The sequence below is a fragment of the Homo sapiens genome, chromosome 8 (assembly GCF_000001405.40).
Source record: "Homo sapiens chromosome 8, GRCh38.p14 Primary Assembly".
Taxonomy (NCBI): domain Eukaryota; kingdom Metazoa; phylum Chordata; class Mammalia; order Primates; family Hominidae; genus Homo; species Homo sapiens.
The window spans coordinates 127,273,131-127,297,292 of NC_000008.11; the positions used below are offsets into that span (position 1 = coordinate 127,273,131).

At 38.6% G+C, this 24,162-nt stretch overlaps 2 long non-coding RNA genes across 2 annotated transcripts in view, besides 2 other annotated features; one reads left to right on the forward strand and one right to left on the reverse strand.

Moving 5' to 3' along the window:
* CASC21 (cancer susceptibility 21) overlaps positions 1–24,162 on the forward strand; it is a 147,995-nt gene that overhangs the window by 28,494 nt on the left and 95,339 nt on the right. The window lies entirely within an intron of this gene.
* Positions 10,164–10,797: an enhancer, noted in NCBI's record as "OCT4-NANOG hESC enhancer chr8:128295539-128296172 (GRCh37/hg19 assembly coordinates)". NCBI's record gives its function as "activates a minimal SCP1, AML or CMV promoter by ChIP-STARR-seq in naive H9 embryonic stem cells {active_cell/tissue: H9 hESC(naive)}" and the evidence as "EXISTENCE:reporter gene assay evidence [ECO:0000049][PMID:30033119]".
* CASC8 (cancer susceptibility 8) overlaps positions 16,546–24,162 on the reverse strand; it is a 192,464-nt gene continuing 184,847 nt past the window's right edge. Inside the window, exon 6 of the long non-coding RNA NR_117100.1 lies at positions 16,546–16,930. This is a non-coding gene — a long non-coding RNA (cancer susceptibility 8). The remainder of the gene's footprint in view (positions 16,931–24,162) is intronic.
* Positions 19,338–19,905: an enhancer, noted in NCBI's record as "H3K4me1 hESC enhancer chr8:128304713-128305280 (GRCh37/hg19 assembly coordinates)". NCBI's record gives its function as "activates a minimal SCP1, AML or CMV promoter by ChIP-STARR-seq in naive H9 embryonic stem cells {active_cell/tissue: H9 hESC(naive)}" and the evidence as "EXISTENCE:reporter gene assay evidence [ECO:0000049][PMID:30033119]".

The following is a 24,162-nucleotide window of genomic DNA, read 5'->3' on the forward strand; positions in this document are numbered from 1 at the left end:
AAAGGAGAAACAATTATGAAATTTTGGTTAAAGATAAATAATTAAAAAATAATTATTTTGTATTGTTCTTGGTGACCCATATGAACCCTTTTTATATTATTTTTTATTTCATCTGAAAATTTTGAGTAAAGGAGAGTTTTAAAAACTTCATTTATGGTTTGTGGCATAGTCACTGAAGTATTTGAGAAACACTTAAGAGACTGGGAATTGGTACACAAAAATATAATGATTCGTTCACAAGAATCTGAGGAAGTTACCTTTCCCCCATATAGAGAGTGAGCAATTTAGTTACTCAAACCTTTTCATTTTGTTTGGACTATCTTAGGTCAGTGAAAGCATTATTAACTAGTTACCAGAGTCATGGTTTATTAGAAATGCCAGCTTGGGTGGGTTTTAGTAAAATTTGAGGTCATGCAGCTTTTCTTAGACCCAGAGAGGGAAACTGAGGGATCTACTATCACATGACAGCATGCTGAGAGGAAACTGTTTGAATTCCAACCTGCTCCTGAATATGTGTGACTTCTGACAAATTACTCATCTTTTTTTTCGGATGACTTCCTTAGTTTTCTCAACTGTAAAATGAAAATATGTATAGTGTTTTAAAGGACTGTTGTAAAGATTAGATTGGTTTAAAACTCTTAAGATGATTTCTGGCATATGGTAAACACTCAACATTAGTCTTTATTAACATATAAGTCTAGTGAAACTGACATAATTAGGCAGTTTGTGCCATGAATGGCTTCACCTCGAGGAAAGCTAATACAGAGAAACCTGATCTCACCAGCCAGATAAATGTGAGGCTGGTCTCCCAGGTCAGCCTGGATATTCACTGGTTGTGGTGGGCAGAATTCTAAGATGTCCCCAAAATCCCTGTCCCTCTTGTTCAGAGCCTTTATAACCTCTTCCCCATGAACACAGGTAGAATCTTTCATGTGATGGGTTATTACTCTCATAGTTAGGTTACTAATCAGTTGACTTTGTGTTAACCTAAAGAGTGATTATCAAGGTGGGCTTGACATAATCAGTGAGCTTTATAAGGGACTGGGCCCTTCCTGGAGTTAGATAGATTTGAAATGTGAGAAGCTGCACTTAAGAGGAAGCTGCATGGCAAGGAACTGAAGTAGTCTCCAGAAACTGAGAATAGTCCCTGGCTTGCAGGGAGCCACAAAATGGGAACCTCATTCCTACAGCTTCAAGGAACTGAATTCTTCCAACAGCTATGAGAGCTACAAGGGACTCTTAGCTCGAGAGGAGACCACATCCCAGGTGATACCTTGATTTCGTCCTTGTGGCACAGTAAGCAGAGAAACTGGGTAGATCTGCCTGGACTCCTGACCTACAGAACTACGAGATAATAAATGGCTGTTGCTTTAAACCACTATGCTTGTGGTTATTTATTATTATGCAGCAGTAGAAAATGAGTACACTGTTAATGATCCAAAGTTGTACATCATTTCCCTGGCTCATCAGAGGCTAGGAGAGTAGATAGTAACAGCATGTGATTATTATTTTGCTTTTTATCTGTCCCAGAAAGGGAAGCACAACTCAGGGAATTTTGTGGTCCCAGAGGATGGCTGGGTTCATTCTTATGACCCTCTGCAGGAAGATTACTGTCATCCCCAAATACCCTCTTCAGCAAAGTCCCTAGAAAAGACTTCTTAAATTTTGTCATCCTTTAGGCTTCTGCTTAATTGAAATAAAGAGAAACTTCCCCTAATCACTGAGTCTATTGTTGTCCACCTCTCAGAGGCGCTTCATAGTGCTGGTCCGTGATTATCTTTCTTATTTGCTTTCTGGTTTGCTACTATGCTCTGATTTGAAAGTAAGAAACATGAAGGCAAGGACCTTGTTTATTTTGCTCACTATTTTATCTCCAGAGCCAGTACAAGTGGCTGGCAATGAATGAACAATTGCTACATGAAAGTGTAATAGAGAAAGGCAGCCAGTGCCAAAATTGCAAACACACAGCACTGTTATACGCTCATATACCCGGCATTCACACACAGCTCTATTAAAAGGTGTTTTTTTGTTTTGTTTTGTATTTTTGAGACAGAGCTTCGCTCTTGTTGCCCTGGCTGGAGTGCAATGGTGCGATCTCAGCTCACCACAACCTCTGCCTCCCAGATTCAAGCGATTATCCTGCCTCAGCCTCCCGAGTAGCTGGGATTACAAGCATGTGCCACCATGCCTGGCTAATTTTGTATTTTTAGTAGAGACGGGTTTTCTCCATGTTGGTCAGGCTGGTCTTGAACTCCCAACCTCAGGTGACCTGCCTGCCTCGGCCTCTCAAAGTGCTGGGATTACAGGTATGAGCCACTTCACCTGGCCATAGCACTTTGTTCATATTCTTGTAATAAAATTTTTGATGCTAGTTTATGAGATTCTTGAGGACAGAGGTAATGTCTTCTTATCTTAGTACCTTTGTGCTAAACACAGTGATCGATGTGTAGTCAATGTTCAATAAATGTTTGTGGAATATGATGGCAATTGATAATTAAACGAAAAAATAATATTATTCTCAACATGTATATATATATATGTGTGTGTATATATATGTGTGTGTGTGTGTGTATATATATATATATATATATTAGACTAAGTGTAATTCTTTTTTATTTTAAGAAACATACCAATTTTTAAACAACATCTTAACCCAGTAAAATCCATCTTGGGAGTCTGGCCTTCTGAACTGTGAGATAATAAACTTTTGTTATTTTAAGCCACTAAGTTTGTGGTTATTGGCTACAGCAATAAGAGACTAAGGCATAGAGGGAGGGACAGAGCTGTCTTAGGCAGATGTCTCCTCCTTACAGAGATCAGCTTGCATTGCAGGACATATTATCAACAGTTTTGGGTCCTGCCATTAATGGGAACTGTAGATTTTACCTTCAATAAAGCTTTTCTCATCATCTCTCCGGCTTTCTCCCCAACCTTGTGCCTGCATGTGATATGGCAGAATAGAAAGAACATGGGCTTCAGAATCAGAGAAACATAAATTTAAATCCCAGTTCCACCACTTATCAGTAACATGACCTGGGACAGCTAGCTCCACCTCTCTGGTCATGTTTCTTCACCTTACGTTCAGTATTGTTATAAGGGTTAGAAAGCAAAGAAATAACAATGAAGATAATGTTATAATTGATGACCAAAGCAGCCTTCCAAGGAGGTACTCACACTAGAGTTTTTCTGCTCTGAACATCCACAGGATTGCAAGGTGGCAGGGCCTGTGGAAAGCTGGGTTGTTTCTGTATATTCTAGGGAAAGAAGTTTGGTGCCACCAGGCTCAGTCCTGGGGTGAGGTAAAGGGCAGCAGAGACTGGCTAAGAGCAGAAAAGAGGAGATGAATGGCAAAGTGCAACAAATTCTGTAATATGAACTTCCCTGGGACTTTCTAATCTTCAATAATTAGTTCTAAATTTATATGATCTCAACATGAGTGTGTTTTTTATGGAAACTTTCATTGAAGCTTATTTTTAGAACCACTTTGATTTAGGATAATACAGAGAGAAGATTCAGGCAGGAGGTAATCATGAGACGGTATAGCCCCCAGAAATAAATAAAAAGCAAGGAAGAACTTTGGATTTCCATCAATCGTGAGATTGAGCCGAGATTACCAAACTCCCTAAAAGATAAGGCCAGGGTCCTGCTAACAACTCATTGCAGGAAAGCCTGGAAAATTATAGACAATCAAATGGTGAGGACTTCAATTTGGGTGGCGTTTTGTATGCTTTCTTCTCTCATTTGAACCATATTGACTTGCCAGTTTGCCTAGATAGAGATATGGAAAGAAGTTGATCTAACAGGAAAACAGTGGGGATGGCAGGTGGTAATAACAATCAAGAGGTCCATTGCCCCTTCAGGACCCAGAATTTATCCCTTTTGTTCCCAGTCACCCCTCTGCCCTCTAGTCCAATGCTGTCTTCTGGGGAAGGCTTAACACAAGAGAGCAGGTGGCTTCACGGGCCTTTCATTTGGGTAATGAGTTGGAACACTTACCCAAAGCCAAGCCCAAGGAACTCCCAGCTGCTCCACACTGGAAGTTGACACACAGTAACATATATGCATATGTGTGTGTGTTGAGATGGTGGGGGGATCATTTTTTTGTAACAATCAACAATCTTGTAACTGTTTCCTGCCTATGTTATAAGCCAGGATAAGAGCTTCCTGGATCACTTGATCTCTTTTTGTGTTGGTAAAAATAATCAAGCCTGTCTTCAGGCAATTAGCCACCTCTTCAAGCCATCAACCTTATGCACAATATCCAAGGAACTCCTCCTTGCCTTTTCTGAACTACTGTGGGAAGTGATTGGAAGGAGACAGCCAAAGGCCAACAATATAGGGCGAGGCCCCTGGGCATCCTTCTCAGCTCTGGGGAAGGTTAATGAATTGTACTTGGGGAACAAAGAGAACTTTGACAACAGAGATTCTGACAGTTTCATAAGGCAGGAAATGTGGCCACTATCAACCCAGAGCTGGGTGTGCAAACACAATCTATGTGTTTATATACCTTCTCCTAGTTTGTGGACATTGTTCAAATGGAAGAGGAAGAAAACACAAGAAGGAAATCCTCTTCCTTTTGGCAAGACACAGACAGAAATTCACATGCTTGACCTGCATCTGTTGTCTCAAAGAACAAGTCACCTTCACTGTGTTGGGTGTCACAAAGAGAGTTTCAAAGACAGCATCATCACCATCAAATCATTCAAAAGCCATATATTGATCACTGATTATAGAACAGGTGCCAAGGTTACAATGGCAAGCAAAAAGTCATTGTCTTTCCTTTGTCTCATGGAGCTCCTCTTCCAGTCATTGTTGTGGTTCACCTTGTCATCATCCTCACTGCAAACACCACTACCATCTCCCTTTTTATCTCTTAGGACAATTTAAAAAATTATGTGGCTGGGTGTGGTGGCTCATGCCTGTAATCCTAGCACTTTGGGAGGCCGAGGCAGGTGGATCACCTGAGGTCAGGAGTTCAACATCAGCCTGGACAACATGGCAAAATCCTGTCTCTACTAAAAATACAAAAAAATTAGCCAGGTGTGGTGGTGGGCGCCTCTAATCTCAGCTACTTGGGAGGCTGAGATAGGAGAATCCCTAGAACCCTGGGGGCAGAGGTTGCAGTGAGCCGTGATTGCGCCATTGCACACTAGCCTGGGTGACAGAGCAAGACTCTGTCTCAAAAAAAAAAAAAAAAAAGTTTATGAAGCACCCAGGGACCAAAAAAAGGAACATAAAAATATTTTAAAAATTTAAAAAGTGAAAAAGAATTATCTGGAGATTTTATTAAAAGGCAAATTTTCAGGTATCTTTGCCACGCTATGAATTAGAAAACCTTGAGGAGAGTCCCGGGACTCAATATTTTCAAAGTAATTCAGATAGTTCTGATGTACATATTTCACGGTTTATATTTTGCAATATTGTCTTATGTTATAGCACTTTATACATTTTTGTCACATTCATTGTGTTCTGAATATCACAACAGTCCAATAAGGTAGATAGAATGGGAAGTATTATCTCCAATTTACTTATGAGGAAAATGAATGCATAAAACTATGCATTTATCCTAATTTAATATAACTGATATCTAATTTGTTCAAGCCTCTGTTTTAGAAGTTGCAGAGAAGAATGAGATACTTAATGAGTTTGTATTAGGAGGGAAAAGCAATGTATACAATGTGTCAGATGCTTTACATGCTATATTACTTGTAACTTACTCTAATATATATTAGTAATACATGCATATAAATGCATTATATTAGCCTTAATTTAAACCCTGAGGGTGATACATTTCTTCATTTACTAATTTGTTCATTCACTTGCCTAATATTTATTGAGCACCAATTATGTGACTGGCATTGCTTTTTGTATTTTGAATGCAGTGGTATATAAAACACATTTTAAAAGCCTTCCTGGAGCTCATATTTTGGGGCAGAAACAGAGATCAGGAAATCACAGCATAGTATGATTAGTTCATATTTGTAGGGGTGCATCCAGGAGTCCACACTCTAGATATAACAGTGCAAGTGCTTAGTAGCACTATCCATGTCTACATCAGAGGGTTTGCTGATTAGCATAAGGATGCCAGAAATAATTCCTTGGTGAAATAAATGATATTCAAGATGTGTAGTTGACAAGAAACATTATAAGACAAGTCTACTCTTTCATGAATAAAGCAGATGACATTGACAAGCCCAGTAGCCTAACATCTTTGGCATAACTAGGTCTAGAATTCTATTTGATCATCTTTCTCCTCTAGTTAATGGAGGTCTCTGTCATCTTATTTTTTTTTATTTTTTATTTTTTGAGATGGAGTCTCGCTCTGTCCCCTAGGCTGGAGTGCAGTGACATGATCTCAACTCACTGCAAAGTCCACCTCCCGGGTTCACGCCATTCTCTCACCTCAGCCTCTCGAGTAGCTGGGACTACAGATGCCCGCCACCATGCCCGGCTAATTTTTTTGTATTTTTAGTAGAGACGGGGTTTCACCATATTGGCCAGGCTGGTCTCGAACTCCTGACCTCGTGATCCTCCCACCTCAGCCTCCCAAAGTGCTGGGATTACAGGCGTGAGCTACCGTGCCCGGCCCATCTTATCTTACTGGATAATTTCCTGAACCTGTGTGCACCTCAGAGTAAGGATTGCATGCAAGGTGCTTATTGAAACAACTAAAAGGATAGAGAGGGAGAAATCACCAAGTTTCTGGGAATAGGCTGCATGACTATTTGGGATGTATTTGATAATAAATGTTTGTACAAGTGGCAGAATTCTTTCTGAGACTTGCTCTCATCAAAAAATCCCTTCCTCAAGTAAGATTGTTGGGGAGCAAATTCACAACCCCACCTGCCTGTTATTGTCACAGCCATTGTTTGCCAAAATAATCTGACAATTATGAGCAGACAAATTGACATACCAATTTGTAACAGATTGTGTCATTTAATCTCTTACAATAATAAGGTGGGGTAGACAATCTTATTATCTCCATTTTACAAATGAGGCACTTCAGGTTTAAAGAGGTTAAATAATTTACCTGATGCTGTTATTAGATATTGAGTAGCAGAGCAATGGTTTAAACTGGTTTGTTTCTAAAGCCTGTACTATTTCCACTAACCCATTCTGGTCTGAGAAGATCCTGGTGTCATAAAATCTATGTAAAACCATCTCTCAACAGTTCTCAGTGGCCTTGTGTTTCAGCTGGCCATTCTCTTTCACACCAGCCACATTCAACTTACCTTTGAGTTTCCTCTCCAACCTTCTGTCTATGAAGAGCCAATTTAGATTTCCCTTCTGGAAGAAGTTCCCAGTAGTTGACGATCACTTTTTAATCTATGTTAAATCTCTTCTCCCTCAAGTAACTAACTGAAAAGTTTTTTCAGATGAAATAATATTTTTCTATAGTTTTCTAATACTCCATAGCACCTAGTATGATGCAATACATATAGAAAGCATACGATCTTTGTTGCCTCCATAGGTAAAATGGAACTGCACAGCTTAGAACATACTACCTGGCATATAATAGATACTTATAGGTATTCACTCTTGAAATCAGACTTTTCACAGGATTCTGGATGATATCGTGGATGTCACTTTCAGTTTAGATGATCAGAACTAGAAAACCAGTGAGAATTCCTTTTGTAATTTAAAAGACTCATTCTAAATGGCTGTTATTTACTTATTCTTTTAAATATAGGGCTTAAAGGTCTTGGAACAAGAGGTTCATTCTTAATATATAATGTACGTATCCAAAAATCTGAGTCAGCAATGAGGTTATCTGAGGCAAACCTGAGAAAATATTTGTGGAGGGAGGTCCTGGATAGTGTGAGCAGAACTGAGATGGAATACGGAATATGGGGAAGGAAAAGTGTGCACGGAGCCAAAGCTTTACGTGTTAGATTTTCTCCATTGATTATAAAGAAACTAGAAGAGAAGGTAGTGCATGCACCATATATTAAGTTCAAAACAGCCCTTTACTTACTTTGGAAACACAAAGCACATTTCACATCTTGTCACTTCTTAATGATTAGTGTGCTGAATACCATTTGACATCATTTAAAACAGATGGACTTTGCAATTATTGCTTAGTTACATGCAGACATGTGATAGAATCACAGCATTTAATATATGCATGCTCATGTATATAGCTGTGTGCAACTTGTTTCCAAATCCAATACCAATCTGAACAATTCAACAGGGGATTTTGTTAATTTATGAATTTCTTTAAATTAATGTTCTATGGTGCAATGCAAATTGATCAATTTTAGGTATACATATTTGAAAAGAATGAAATTATCAGAAATTGAGACTGTTGCCAAAATAAGAAGTACAGTCATTCTGTGAACAAGTATGTGTAATATAATTAGGAAAAATAACTCTATGAGCTTTATGCAAACTCAAAGGGTAGAAAAATCATTTCAATTAAAACTTAAGAAAGAAGTGCTTTTGTGATACACACATATATGGTAAATACCCTTAACATATTGAACTATGAGGAACAGCAATTTTATGATGAAAGCATTGGTTTTTAAAGTGATGTAGTCTTAGATATGGGTCCCTGTTCTACCAGTTCTAGCTGAATTTACTTCTATTTCTGAGCTTTAGTTTTCTCCCCTTTAAACATGAGGAGGGTAAGCATAATTGTTCCTATCTCAAAGAGTTGTTTGAATAAAGAGATAGTATACATGAAAATTCCCATCACACAAGTGGCATGCAGTAAAGTTTACTTACCTCCCCTTCTTTTCTTGCCTCTGTTGGTGTTTATTATGAATCTAGCCACATGTTATTCTATTTGGAAGGGCCATAAGATACATACAAGAGGATATAGGCAGGCATTCTCTTGTGTCTTTCATGCATTGTATGCAGAAAGTGGAGAGTGGATATTTTGAAAAGTGCTGGTTGAGATATTCCCAATTTTTTCCTACTAGGCTATGGCCAGCAATTTAATTAGAGACAAGATCTCCAATTAGCCAAAAGAAAGTCAGATGACAAAGTATTGCTATACTGAAAAGATACCTTGAATATAGGAAGTCCCCAAGGAGCCCTGATGGGCAGCAAGGAGGCAGGAGGAAGAACCAGGCACATGCTGAAGGCCAAGGCAGTGCAGGGAGCCAGGCTGTAACAGCCGAGTGAAAGGAACTAGCAAAGCACACCAGCAGGAGAGGAAGATTCCATTTGAACCCAAGCTATGTGACCCATCCAAGTCCTAAAGCTCATCGATGTTATGCACCTTCTCAGCATACCCAGGTGCCAAGCACAGGGCAGGTAAGGAGCGTCTTCAATGACATATTCTGATTTAATGAAGCAAGCACTGAACCAGGAGCCAAGAGACCCAGATTCAATCCCTCTTCCACTTAGAAGCTCTGTAATATGGAGCAAGTAAATTCCTTCAGTGCCCTCACTTGTAAAGCACTGATAATGTTTGCTGTCTTTCACAGGTAGTATGAGATCCAAAAAAAGAGGGAACATGAAAAAACACAGGTTAGTGGTCAATGACAGAGACTGCCTGGATTCAAATCCAGATCCTGTACTTACAGCAACACCCAGTCTTGCCAAGTGTAGCTGTACCTCGGTGTGATCATCTGAAAAAATGGGATAATAAGATGCCTTTCTCATAGAGTTGTAGGCAATAAGTGATACCAGTAGTACATGTGAAGTGTTTACAACAGAGCCAGACAGAAGACATTCAGTAAATTTAATGTGAACTATGATTATTAATGAGAACATTAATAATCAAACATCACCTGTTTGTGAACAGGTGCTGTAGGAAGACAATAGAACTTGGCTCCAGAATCAGACAGACTTAAGCTCTGATTCAAATTCCATAAATATGAGCTGGATGATTTGAAGGACATTCAACTTTTCTTAACAAATGTATATATATATATATATATATATATATATATATATATATATATATATATATATTTAAATTTGCAAACTAGGCATGTTAATTCACTTTACACTTTGTTCTTACAAAGATTTGAAATGGTCTATGTCAAGCAAATAAAATATGGTATATTTTCGATAAATGGTAATTATGTACAGTTGTAGGGTGATAGATACGTTTAGAAGGCATTGGTATTAGAACTGATATTATTGCAAGTTTTTTTCCCGAGCAATGGATGACTTCTCAGATGCTAAGACTGTGACATTATTGAGTCAATGTGAACAAGGTGAGCCAGTGCAGCTGGGAAAGGCGAGAACCTTGTTAAAAACAAGCATAAATGCTTCTTCCTTTATAGACAACCCAATCAGAATAGACATTCAAACAATTCATCTGTCCCCTGTGGTTTACATTCATAGTGCATTTGGCCCAGCCCTCTCTCCTCTCTGGTCCCCTGTGTTGGTGAGACCAATGAGGAGAACAGTACAATGTCCTGGGACAGAAATGCCACAGGTAGCCTGAGGACATGAGCTCTTTGTCCTGTGGGTCTCAGACATCAACAATGCTGCCACTGTTCTCAGAAAGACTGGAATGTGGATGGAGGCCAGCTGGACTCAACTACCACAAAAGCAGACCAAAGAGTTGCAAATGGGCCAGGAGGAAGGCTAGAAGATGGGTATTTGAGAATGCGGGTTGTGGTGCACTCTCACAGTGCTCTTCAAAGCACTGGGCTCTTCCCAGTTCAACGCGTGCCAAATACCCAAAGGAGCAAGCAACATGCTTCTGATTCCCAGTAGAAAGCCATGGCTTAGAAGACCCGTGAAGGGGAAAATTGCCTCAACAATGACTAAGTTTCTCATTCATGGCAGGTGCTTTATACGTTGATCCCATTTGGTCCCCACAGCACCTGTGTCAAGTTTCAATCATCCCAATGATGCAGGTGCATTGTAACCCTTCAACCAATTTTCGTTATGATTATTGTTATTGTCATCATTATTATTGGAAACGGAGAGAAAGAGACTCATGGCAGTTAACTCATTTGCCCAAATTTATACAGCTGGTTAGCAACAAAGCTAGGACTCAAACTAGTGGCCTATCCTTTGCATCAAAGCCTACAGCCTAAATGACTCATTAAACACCTTCCCTGAACCAATGGCCATATTAGGTGCATAAACAGAGATAAAATGGTTTGCTCTAAAAAACTTAGTCTAGTGAAATGTTTTGCAAACTGTGGGACATAGCCTTTGTAGTTCATTAAGCTACTTTGAAGTCATCACAAATGCATTTTTAATAATTTGTTGAAAAATTTAAGTATAGAATGCATATTACATAATACTAGTATTTGATGACACTTTTGTTTTAATCATATGTAAATATACATATGTGTATGTATGTACCATATCATAATATACAAAATATATCTTTTTTTTTTTTTTTTTTTTGAGACAGGGTCTGCTCTGTCACCCAGGCTCTGTTGCCCAGGGAGAGTGCAGTGATGGCTGCACTGTAGCCTCAATCTAAAAAATAGCTCATAAAAATCGTGGTGAGAAACTTTTGGAAGCTATTAGTTTAGTAATTTTGCCAGCGAAAGACACAGAGATTTATGTGGGGCATTTCCTCCTTGCTAACTCTTGTTCTCAGTCTCTTTACGGTATCTCAAGTGGAAGAGAAGGATTAGAATGCCCACGTCAATGGTTAGGACTTCATAAAGCAGACTTCTGTAATCCACAGTGAACATCTCAGTATACAACAAAATTCAATAGCATGATATGAATTAACGTTTAAATTAAGCTGGAGTTAAGGTAATTTTTTCATTCAACAAACATTCAGCTAACATGTGTTTATCCTCTTCTGGGTATTAGGAGTATATTTTCTACTGTACTAGTACATTCTCTACTGTACTAGATACTGAAGAGAGGAGATTCAAAAGACAGACATATTATTGCCCTGTCCTCATAGAGCTCACAAGTCTTTTCACAAATATGAATTGAACACCCTGTATGCACTAGAATCTGTACAAGGATCCAGGAATATCAGAGTAATGCCAAACAATGTTGGAATATGAGGATCAAGAAAAAACATGTGCCCCTATGTACATTTTTTTTTTTTTTTTGAGATGGAGTTTCCCTCTTGTCGCTCAGGCTGGAGTGCAGTGGCATGATCTAGGTTCACTGCCACCTCCGCCTCCTGGGTTCAAGCGATTCTCCTGCCTCAGCCTCCCGAGTAGCTGGGATTACACGCACCAACCACCACGACTAATTTTTTTGTATTTTTAATGGAGACGGGGTTTCACTATGTTGAGCAGGCTGGTCTCAAACTGCTGACCTTGTGATCCGCCCAACTTGGCCTCCCAAAGGGCTGGGATTACAGGCACTAGCCACCGTGCCTGGCCTATATATGTTTTAATATAAAGATTTAATTTTATTTTATTTTTAATTTATAAATCATGTATATTTATGGGATACAATGTGATGTTTTGATCTATGTATACATTATCAAAAGATTTAACTAAATCAACATATCCATCACCTCAATAATTTATCATTTTTGGTTGTGAGAATGTTAAAAATCTTTTTTAGTAATTTTGAAACATACAATATATTGTTATTAACTGCGGTCATCATGCAGTGCAATAGAGTATTAAAATCTTTTCTCCAAGAAATAATATTTATTTCTCCAATAAATAAAACTTTGTACCCTTCAATTAACAACATCTTCCTTTTCCCCATCCTTTCCCCTTTGACCCAGCCTCTGGTAACCACCAGTCTATTCTCTGTTTCTAGGAGACTGACTTTTTCAGATTCCACATATAAGTGAGAGCATATAATATTTGTGTTCCTGTGCCTGGCTTATTTCCCTTAGCATAATGTCCTCCAGTTCCATCCATGCTGTCACAAATATTAGAACTTCCTTATTTTTAAAGACTGTATAGTATACCATTGTATATGTATACTATATTTTTAAAAATCCATTAATTTGTTGATAGATTAGATTGCTTCCATAACTTGGCTGGTGTGAAAAATGTTGAAATTAACATGGGAGTGCAGATATGTCTTTGACATACTGATTTCAATTCTTTTGAATATTGATTTCAATTCTTTTGAATATACACCCATAAATGGGATTGTGGATTATGTGGTCATTTTATTTTTAGTATTTTTTTTTGGGAAACTCCCATTTTCCAAAATTTCTATGCTAATTTACATTCTCCCCAGCAGTGTACAAGCGTTTCTTTCTCCACCTCCTCACCAACACTTTTCATGATTTGTCTTTTTAATAGCAGCTGTTCTAACAGGTTTGAAGTAATATCTCATTGTGGTTTTATTGCTTTTCCCTCATGATGAGAGAAATTGAGTATTTTTCATATATTTATTGGCCATTCATGTGGCGTATTAATATGTTTGTAACTTTTTTAAGAACACTAAAATCATTGAAGAATATTGAAGTCTAAAAGTAGGTGTACTAAAATTCAATACATTATTTTAAGATTAAATATTTTATTTATACCCAAAATAAACTTATTTTAATTTTAATTTCCTGTTTTGTTGATGAGAAAACTCACCAACATATTCAAAATCAGCTTCTTGCTTATCTCATTTTCATCTGGGGAAATTGCTATGTTTAACAATTTCTCTTGACCAAATGAAATGGTCTTACATAATGATTAATACAAATCCAGTCTTATTTAAAATATTATGTTCACAATGGAATGTTTGCACTAATTTCGATTTTTTTTTTTTCTTTTTTTGAGACGGAGTCTTGCTCTGTCACCCAGGCTGGAGTGCAGTGGTGCCATCTGGGCTCACTGCAAGCTCCACCTCCCGGGTTCAGGCCCATTCTCCTGCCTCAGCCTCCTGAGTAGCTGGGACTGCAGGCGCCCGCCACCACGCCCAGCTAATTTTTGTATTTTTAGTAGAGACGGGGTTTCACCGTGTTAGCCAGGATGGTCTCGATCTCCTGACCTTGTGATCTGCCCACCTGGGCTTCCCAAAGTGCTGGGATTACAGGCATAAGCCACCACGCCCGGCCACTAATTTTGATTTTTAAAAGCACTGCACTAAAATATTATTTATCTTGGTTGTTTATGTTTTTTGCTTCCCCTACACTCTCACTGAATTTTGCAGCCAGTCAGGTGCTTCGCTCACCTCACCCTAGTCCCAGCACTGAAGAAAACATCAGCAAAATAAGACAGAGCCCTTGTTCTCCAGCTTTTACAATCCAATGGGAGGTCAAAGTAAGTAGACACATACTAGCTAACATAAATGCTCTTCTAAGTACACTACATAAATTAATTCATTTAATTCTTCCAGCAATTTTATGAGGCATATACTACTTATAAATCCTGTTTTACCAAAAAAGAAATAATAATAAAGAAAAAAAGAAAGAAAATTTAGGGACAGAGCAGTTAAGAAACAAATTCAAAGTCTAAGAGCCTGTAATTGAACCCAGACAGCCTGGCTCCAATCCTGAAAAATCAACCACTGAGTAGTCTCTAGATTAAGACAGGTGGTTGTAGTTTTTTATTTAAAAGATCATCAGCTCAGCTGGAGAAACAAAAAGAGAACATGATATTACATCATATAGGACTTTAAAACCAACTTAACAATAGTAATTATAATAATTAACACTTTGGGTAATCTGCCCCCAGATAGTTCTCCTAAAAATGTGATCTTCCTTCCCTGAGCTATATGCTTTTCATTTCCAAGGAGGATAATAGTAAATCTCTCTACCAATGCTTAAATTAAATCAGAGAATTTCCTTAAGATGAATTTGCACTCACAAATTGACATCTTTTGCACAGTAAGTAGCCAAGTAGCCACACTGATGCCTACTACACTGAATCTATGTCTCTGAATATTGCATCTTATGCATTCTTTGAACAAATATTTATTAAGCACCTACTGTGAGTCAATTTTATTTTTAAAGAAAATACAAAATGTCTTTAAAGCATCAATCCACAAGTCTGTTTTACTCTGAATTCTTTTGGAGACATCCCTGAGGAGGAAGCAGTACTAATGCATAAAGCTATATCCTCAAATATAAAACTGTATATAACACACATCTGTATGATGGTTTATGGGTTACAATGTGTTTTCATGTACATTATTTCATTTGCTATTTATCCTCTATAATGTCTCAGGAGATAAGCAAAATTAAAATAACACTAATTTAAAACACTCTAATTAAAGGAGCCTAAAATGGTAAGCACTAGCAATAGATAAACTCTAATTGTTGCCCCACTGAGGAAGAGAGTTTGAAAAAGTAGGTCACACATAATGGTTTTCCCTGTAGGGAAGGAAAATAAAATTCTGAAGCCCTGCCACTAACCGCTAACCACTTGGGTGGTATCAGGTTAAATCATTAAGCTCTGTGTTTTAGTCTCGTTACCAATATAGTGAGTTTTCAGTCACATGCCAGTTCATCTCACAGAGTGAGATGAGTCCCTCAAGTACAGAGATTGTTCATCTTTTCATCTCTGCAGTTCCCATGCCCAGTACAGGTCCTGGTATGTAAAGGGCACCCAACATGTATGTTGAATAGATGGATGGATGGATGGATGGATGGATGGATGGATGGATGGATAAATGGATCAGTAGATGGATCAATGGGTGGATGAATAAGTGACAAATTGAACTGGTTTTGTCTGCCCTTTTGGCCCTTTCCTTGAGTCTGTATCACTCACCCATCACTTGAAGCCAGTGGTGGGTGCTAGCTCAACTATGGCATTTGCCCAGGGTCTTTGCACTTGCTATGGAAGAGATATGCTCTTGTATGAATTATTTACCTTCTTCATTCTACTTGCCATTTGGATTCCAGATCAAATATGTTTTCTTCAGAGGTTTTTTCCCTGATCACCTCTTACTGTTACCTGCTTAGTCCTGTTTTATCAGTCACCCTGCTTTACTATTTTCAGAGCTCTTAGCACTCTTTGAATGATATTATTAACTTTTGCTAATTTACATATATGTTTCTTGTTTTCCCCGTTGAATGAAATCTTCATTAGGCCAGGGAATTAGTTTCTCTTATCCACTACTGAACCCTCAGTTTATAATATAGTGATGGTACTTAGTAGCACATAATAAATTGTTGTTACATGAATGAACAAATTAGCCTCGATCACTCTTTCAGGTACTGATATGGCCTAATATTCCTGCCTTAAAAATTATTTTCTGGTAATCAGACCTGGTAATTGGCCTTATAATCTTGGTTGCAACATTTTCTCCAGGCCTACTTTCCCATTTTAGAAACCTTGAACTTTCTCACCCATCTTCTCCAGTGCAAGTCCATAACCACTAACTCCCAAAACTCTAAAAATAAAATAATTTCTTCCTCCTTCCTCTTTCCCATGAAACTTTCACTGATCAGGCTTATTCCTAGATTTCCTCTTATGAGAGGATCTAGAAATGGATGGAGGGATGGATGAATGGACCAATGAATGATGAATTCATTTATAAATTGATAAATGCATGATGAATTTAAAAATACCTTCAAGGTTTATGAGTTTTCACCAGTGGAGTACTTGTAAAAATTCTTTTGTCTTCTCTACAAAACTTTCTCCAGTGAAAGAGAATTGCCATTATTCTAGGACCCTACTACTACTCTTACAAAAACCCATTTTGAGTTTGGAAAAAATTGACTAATTAAGACAAAATATGTAAAGCTGTAACTGAAAATCAAAACAAACATCAACTTTATTACTTAAAAAAATGGATTGGAGGATGTGATATAGATGTATTATGTCAATAAGCTTTGTTCCAATTATCTACTGCTACATAACAGCCACCCAAAAATTAATTACTTAGTAACAGTCATTTATTTCACTCATGAATATCCAACTTGAGCAGAGCTTAGTAGGGACAGCTTGTGTCTGCTTCATGTGGCATCAGCTGGGATGGCTCCACCAGGCAGGAGGATCGACGTTCAAGGTGGCTTATGCACATGATCAGCAGGTTCGTTGGTAGGCTAGTTCTGGCTGCTACTGAGCCTGGCTGAGGGCATCAGCTGGAAGCCTTGCATCCTCTCCATAGGCTACTTGAGCTTTCTTGCAACCTGGAGTGAGATTACAAGAGCAAACATTCCAAGAGAATAAGGAGGAAGTGCATACCATTTTTATGCCCTAGTCTTGGAAGTAACAATATTATCACTTTTGCCATACTCTGTAGATCAAAATAGTCACATACTGTACTGCCTAGATTCAAGGTTAGGGAAAACAGACTACATTTATTTATTTATTATTCTTTTTCTTTTTCTTTTTTGCCCTCAGCCAGTGGAAGTTGAGAAAGAGACTCCATTACTTGATGGAAGAATGATAAGGTTCCAAAGAGTCTGTGAGATGGGTGGTATTGTTTGAACCATCTTCAGAAAATAAAATATGCCACAGGCCTCCTAATACTGAGTCCCAGAATTAGAGGGACATACTCTTCTTGTCATAGGCAGCTCTGGTAAACCCACACTGATGCCTGCCCCTGTAAAACTTAGGGCATAGAGCAACTGATGGGAGAGAAAAGTTACACTGAACTGAATTCTAAAACCCAATCTTAGCCAATTAAACACAAAGAATCATCTGCTAGAGTTTCTAAGAGAGAGAAGAATACTCTTTTACACAGGATTTGATGGTGTGAAGATGTGAGGTTTATACTTATTTCAGATATTTTGTCAACATTAGAAGAAATAGCTAAGGAATAATGTCACCACACAGAGAAGTCAGAGACAAGAGATAATCCTAGTGGCATTATTCAACTGAATCAAATGTTTAAAGTTGGATGCAACATTGGACTTTTAATTTACATGAGCCAATACATTCCCTGTTATTAATATTTGCAAGCCATTGTAAGTCAGTTTCATTCATTTACCACCTATCCTCCTACACTCTGCATGCCACTAGGAGACTGTCTCATAATGAACAACAACACTATAGATGATAATGATATATACATCTTGGAAATTCTCTATCTGTTCCTTTCTTACCTCAGCAACATATGGTTTGGACCTGGGCAAACTCTCCCCAAGACTTTTCCAGTTGCCTCTGCTTCAGTGGGCTTTTCTACTTACTTACAGTGTATCCTACCTCCAACCCATTCCCCATCCCCACCATTCAGCAACCCCCTCACCAATACCCACATCTTCTCTGATCACTCATATCCTTTTATCAGTTCTCCCATTTCCCACTTCTTTAAGTACAGAGTTCTCAATCTTGTCTCCTATGCCTCTTCTTTTCTTTTCTAGATTTAACTCCCATGAACTTGATAATCCATCCCAACTTTATGACTCAGTTCTCTGACAAGAATGCATATTTTTTTCTGCATTTCTCAACTTTGTTCTTGCTATTCCTTCTATAATATATTAAAGATGGCCACAGATCCCTTGCTATTTCTTTCATCAAGAGGGGCAGTCTGTATATCTAGCACAAAGAAAGCACACATATTTAAGGTGATGGACATCCTAAGTATACTGATTTGATCTTTACAAATTATATAAATGTATTAAATTACCACACGTAACCTCCCAAAAAAAGAGTCTGAACCTTTTTTTTTTAAACCCGGGTTGGTCTTGGGGACATAATTGATCAACAGAATGCAGCCGAAGTGACATTCTGGGATTTCCAAGACTAGGTTACCAGAAGCCTTAAAGCTTCTTCCTGGGTTTCTTAGAATATATGTTCTCTTTGTTCTGGGTTTCTTGGAATGAAATGATTTTTCTTGGAACACTTTCGAATCCCAGCCACTGGAATTCATGCTGTCAAAAAGTCCACGCCAGACATGCAGAGTAGATACAAGATGAAATAAATGCTTGACCAGCCTTCAGCTGTGCTATCCATTATGAAAAAGGCATCAGATGTGTGAGTGAAGCCACCTTGGAACCCTCAGATCAGCCCACCTGCCAGCTGAGTACCACTGAATGCAAGCTGAGTACCACCGAGTTACCTTGCTTGATGTTCCTTGGAACACAAGAAGAAAGCAGCCAAGCTCTGCCTAAATTCTAGAGGCACACAGTAGAGCATCTGTGGCCACTGTAGTTAAGGTGAAAAGGAAAAAGGAATGAATTCTAGATCCATCTTAAAATGTTTATGCACACAATAGAGATATCTTGAAATGGTTACTTTTTAAGTCACTGAGTTTTAAAAATAATTTGAATATAGCAATAGATAACTAGAACACTCTTTATCAAAGTAGGGCTAGGTTCACCAGAAAAATCATAAGATAATCTTACCTCTCTCTTCTACCTGAATTTAAAAGACTTTTGGACAAGAATCTATCATTGCAGTTTGATGGTGCTAGACAGGTTTAAGGAATATTTCAAGCGTATGATCCTTTTATGTATCTTATTATAGTTGAATGTGTACAGTTGGCAAGGTGTGGGCAAAAGAACATTATTGCAATGGTGGTAATATGAGGAAATGATGATATCACGTTAGAAGTCCAGGAGCAAGTATGAATGTTCCCCGAACAGAGAAACTGTCTGCCTTCAAATGACCCTGCTTCTAAAAGCCCATTTCTTAAAACGTAAAAGAAAATTAGCATTGCTTATTCTTCATGATAAAACTTTTAAAATTGTATTTTGCAATGAAGATTATTTCTATCTCCCCCCCCCCCCGTTTTTTTCTCACATTCCCCCTGATCCCTGAAAAAAAAAAAAAAAATAGGGGATTATTAAGCGTACTCAGTTTTTCTGTTTAGACAAATTCTGTCTGGTGTTTGTAATTTGCAACTGATTATAAAGTTTTACATATTAAAATAAAGAACAACTTTGTCATATTTGAAAGAAGGCCAAGGTTACATTATCCATTTATTTTAACATTAGACACAGTCAGCCCAATGAAGGAGGAGGAGGAAAAGGAGGAGAAGAAGAAAAGAAAAAGAAAGAAAGAGAGAGGAAGAGGAAGATGATCAGAGTGGAAATGTGGCCAGGCGAGGTGGCTCATGCCTGTAATCCCAGCACTTTGGGAGGCTGAGGTGGGCGGATCACTTATTTATATACCTCCTATGGCATATACCTCTCCACATTTTTATAATTGCCATTTATATACGTTTCTAAGTTCCTATAGTATTGTCCTTCAAGGCAAAAATCCTGGTATTATCTTCTTGATATTCTTAGGGCCTAATGTTACCAAAATGCCAGGGGTTTGGTCTTGGTCCTGTTGCTTGCTGCTTGGAGAGCTAGGCCCTGAGACAATGAGAGGTGCCAGGTAAGAAGGCTTTATCTGGGTGCTGCAGCGAAGGAGACAGGAGATGAGTCTCAAACCTGCCTGACTAAAATTGGGGGTTTATATAGCAGAGAAGGAACGTAGCTACAAGCAGGAAGGAGTTCGGGAGTGATAAGGAAGCAGTCATGATGAATGAGGGGTGTGAGCTCTCATTATCTGGATGTGGTGATCTGGTGAGTTTCAGTCCATTGCCTGAGGGTCAGTTTCCTGAGAAGAGATTTCAGATGGGGCAAATAGAAGCTTCAAATTTTAAGATCAGGAGAGTCAATTTCTATATTTATTCAAAAAACCCATACACATTATTTCTACGGAGCAATTGGGCTGGTTTCACTAGCACAGTGCTTGGTTATCTTCAGTGCATAACTGAGTAAATAACTGCTCAGTAAATAACTGCTGAATTAAAGGAAGTAGCGATGATGGCAGTGGCTGTGGAAGTGGTGCAGGTTAGGAGCCACGATGGTAGTTTTTGTTGGGAATGTTACTGAGGGTGGTGGTGATGATACTGATGATAGAGGTAGCCCTACTGATGTTGGTGAGGTTGGTATTGTTGAGTCCTAAATCAGAGAAAAGAGCACTAAGTTATCTAGGAGAAATATCATTTTGATAATAAAGGAAAACTTGGTGGTAAGCCTGATTGCCAGTCTATGCAACAGTTAGCAGGAGAAAATACCAGATTTTCTCTGACAGCTTTGGGATCTGATGAATAGATAGCAGAGGCTACTGGGAGAAATTTTATCAGCCTCTGGAGAGTCCTTCTAGCTGACTCCCTAAATGCCTCTTTGCTCCAGGACTTAGGTTTTTGAAGGAATTGAGCAATGAATATGAAAGAAGAGGGATAAATAGTCACACCCAGAGTGACTTCCCATTCCTCATTGTCTCTTGCAAAGACAAGACATTCTTTAGAAGGGATCCTTCCAAAGAAAATATCCTGAGCACCTGAGTATCCTGCTTGTGGATCCCCAATAGCCAGCACGCTGACTCACTGCTATTTGTGCAGTTCCCATGTGCCAGTGAATTATAATGAGAATATTCTGGGCAATCAAATTACTGGAGCTGAAGGGGGTGCTGAAGCAGGGATTGCCCACATAGGTCACTTTCTAGAAAGCAGGTTCCAAAAATGTCTTTCTGTGCACTGAGAATTGGATCGCACCATTCCAACAGAGAAGCTATTTTCTGCCCATAACATACATAGACTGAAGGAATTAAAATGCAGTGAGTTTAGTTGAAAGCTTATTGTACTTAAATCCACAAAAATTAGGTACTTTTCAACTTATTTACCCTGCGCTGTATTTAAACCGCTTCCCTCCTGCCTTCGTTCTGTAAATAACCATTCCAAAATCTAGACTGCCTATCGAACAACAAAGCAATGATTCAGTTAATAATTATAAACCTTAACAATTCAGCATGCACCCACTTATAGAAGAACTAGATATCACTTGCCTGAAATATTTGACAGTCATACAAGAGAGCAATCGGCTACTTAAACAACGCAGTCATGTTGGGAGCTGTTGGGGAAGGGGTAAGGGCGGGGAGGATTGTTTTTGAATGAAACTTCATCTACGTGGTTCCAATGGATTCTTTCCCACACAAGCTCAAGCCTACATCTCACAGAGCTATTAGGTCTGTATACTTCCTTGTGCTCTGCTCCAAGAATTAGTGAGTCATGTTTTAAGCACAAATTCTTAACATAGGTGCTACCAGGGAACAAAGGAAAACAAAATGCCTCATTCTTTTATTCATCTTTTGAAAGGAAACTCATGGCGGAAACATTTGTATAACATTCCATTTATATAACCTGAGAAATATCAGCTGAAGGAAAGAACAGTACAGCTGAGGAAGGGGACTGTGGTGTTTTCTTTCCACAAGCCCATGCCCCTCCTAGACTATTAGTTCCTAATGTGTTTCACAGCTCTTGGGTCCAGCAAGGAAATGTGAGGGCACATCGTGGGAGGCAGAGAGGTGGAGGGGAGCCCATCAGGAGGGCCCAAATGCTCCAGCAGGTATTAGGAAATGCTTCAGTAGAGTGTTTGCAAGCATGGGCTGCGGAGTCAGGCAGATCACTGGCTGTGTGACCCTGGGCAGGTGGCTGAACGTCTCTGTGCCTTAGCATCATTGTTGGGAAGAACGAGGATAATAACGACAAAAAAATACCCCGTGGACTATAGAAGGTTTTCTATATGTCTGATACATAAACCAAGTTCAATAAAGCCCCTTGGGTCCAATTCTGGTTTCTTCTCTTGGACCGGTCATTTTGCTCCTCTTAGTTTCAGTCTCCTCATCTTTCTCTGAATCTTTTATACTTGGGATTGATGGAAAACTTACAGAAATGTTCTGAAATGCAAAAATGTCATAATGACCTAGCCATAGCTCACACATGAATCCTCAGTGTGAACCAGGAATCAACCACTTGTGACCACAAAAGGGAAAGGAGGAAGAATACAAGTCTTTCCAGCTCTTTATTGCCCGTGCATCTTGGATATGTTGAGAAACCTTTACTGACTATCTTCAAGTCAGTTTATTAATGCTCTAATATTTTTTATTTCTGTCATAGTATGCATATGATGTATTAGACAGGGCTCTGGGTACAGATGGGCAGGGTTTAAATGACAGATTTAAGGCAGTGGCTCACACCTGTAATCCCAGCACTTTGGGAGGCCAAGGCAGACAGATCACTTGAGGTCAGGAGTTCGAGACCAGCCTGGCCAACATGGCAAAACACTGTCTCTACTAATAATACAAAAATTAGCCGGTCTTGGTGGCACCCACCTGTAATCCCAGCTACTCGGGAGGCTGAGGCACAAGAATAAACCTGGGAGGCGGAGGTTGCAGTGAGCTGAGATCACACCACTGCACTCCAGCCTAGGTGACAGAATAAAACTGTCATCAATCAATCAATCAATAACGGATGTTCTCCTATGTGCCCTGGAGCAAGTGAATTGAACCCTGGTTTTTCCTGCAGCATGCTTGCCAAAGTTAATTTTGTTCATTGGTCTTTTCAAAGAACCAGCTTTTTCTCCCCTTTATCCTTTTACTGTGTTGTTTTCTATATCACAAATTTCATCTTTTGCATTATCAATTCCCATGTATTCCCTCATGATTTACTTTGTATTTTTCCCTAGATTCTTAACAAAAATTATTTATTTTCAATGATAAAATAACAAAGGCATTTAGGCTACACATTTTTCTATAATAATAGATTATTTCTAATAGGTTTTGACAATAAGTAATCGTCTTTCCACTGATTCCTAGATAGGATTTCATTTCTATTTTTATTTTTTTCTTGGCTCTCAGGCTTATATTAAAGAACATTCCATATTCATACTTTCCCAGTAGTTAAACTTGTAAAATTCTATTTACTTTGCTTTTCTATTTGTTGGGCATATGAACTATAGCCCTAGATTCCTAAATTTACTGAATTATAGTCAGAAAAGGGCAACTTAAAAAATCTGTATTTGGGGAAAAATCATTATTATTTTTTGAGACAGGGTCTTGCTCTGTCACCTGGGCTGGAGTGCAGTGGTGCAATCATAGCTCACTGTAGTCTCAAACTCCTGGGCTTATGTGATCCTCCCACCTCAACCTCCCAAGTAACTAGGACTACAGATGCATGCCACCATACCTGGCTAACTTTTAAAGTTTTTGGAGAGATGGGGGTCTCACTGTGTTTCCCAGGCTGGTTTCAAACTCCTGGCCTCAAGTAATTCTCCCACTTTGGGCTCCCTAAAAATGCTGAGATTACAGGCATGCTCCCAGAGTGCTGAGATTACAGGTGTGAGCCACTGCTCTTGGCCCAGGGTAGTTTTTAGTTATTTTTTTATTGTGATCAAATACTGCATTTTAAAAATTGTTACTTAGATGTAAGAGAAGAGTTAATATCCTCTCTGTGTGGTTCCTTACATATACAAAAGCAAGCTTATTTAAATTACTCAAATTAAGTATATCTTTTGGAAATATCTGTCAAGTTTTTCAATCATATTCTGAGACAGGTGAAACTGTTTTATCTTGCATTTCTGAATTGTTCATCTTGCTGTTACATAATAAGGCACTGATTAGATGCTTTAGGTTTTGAATTTTTTCC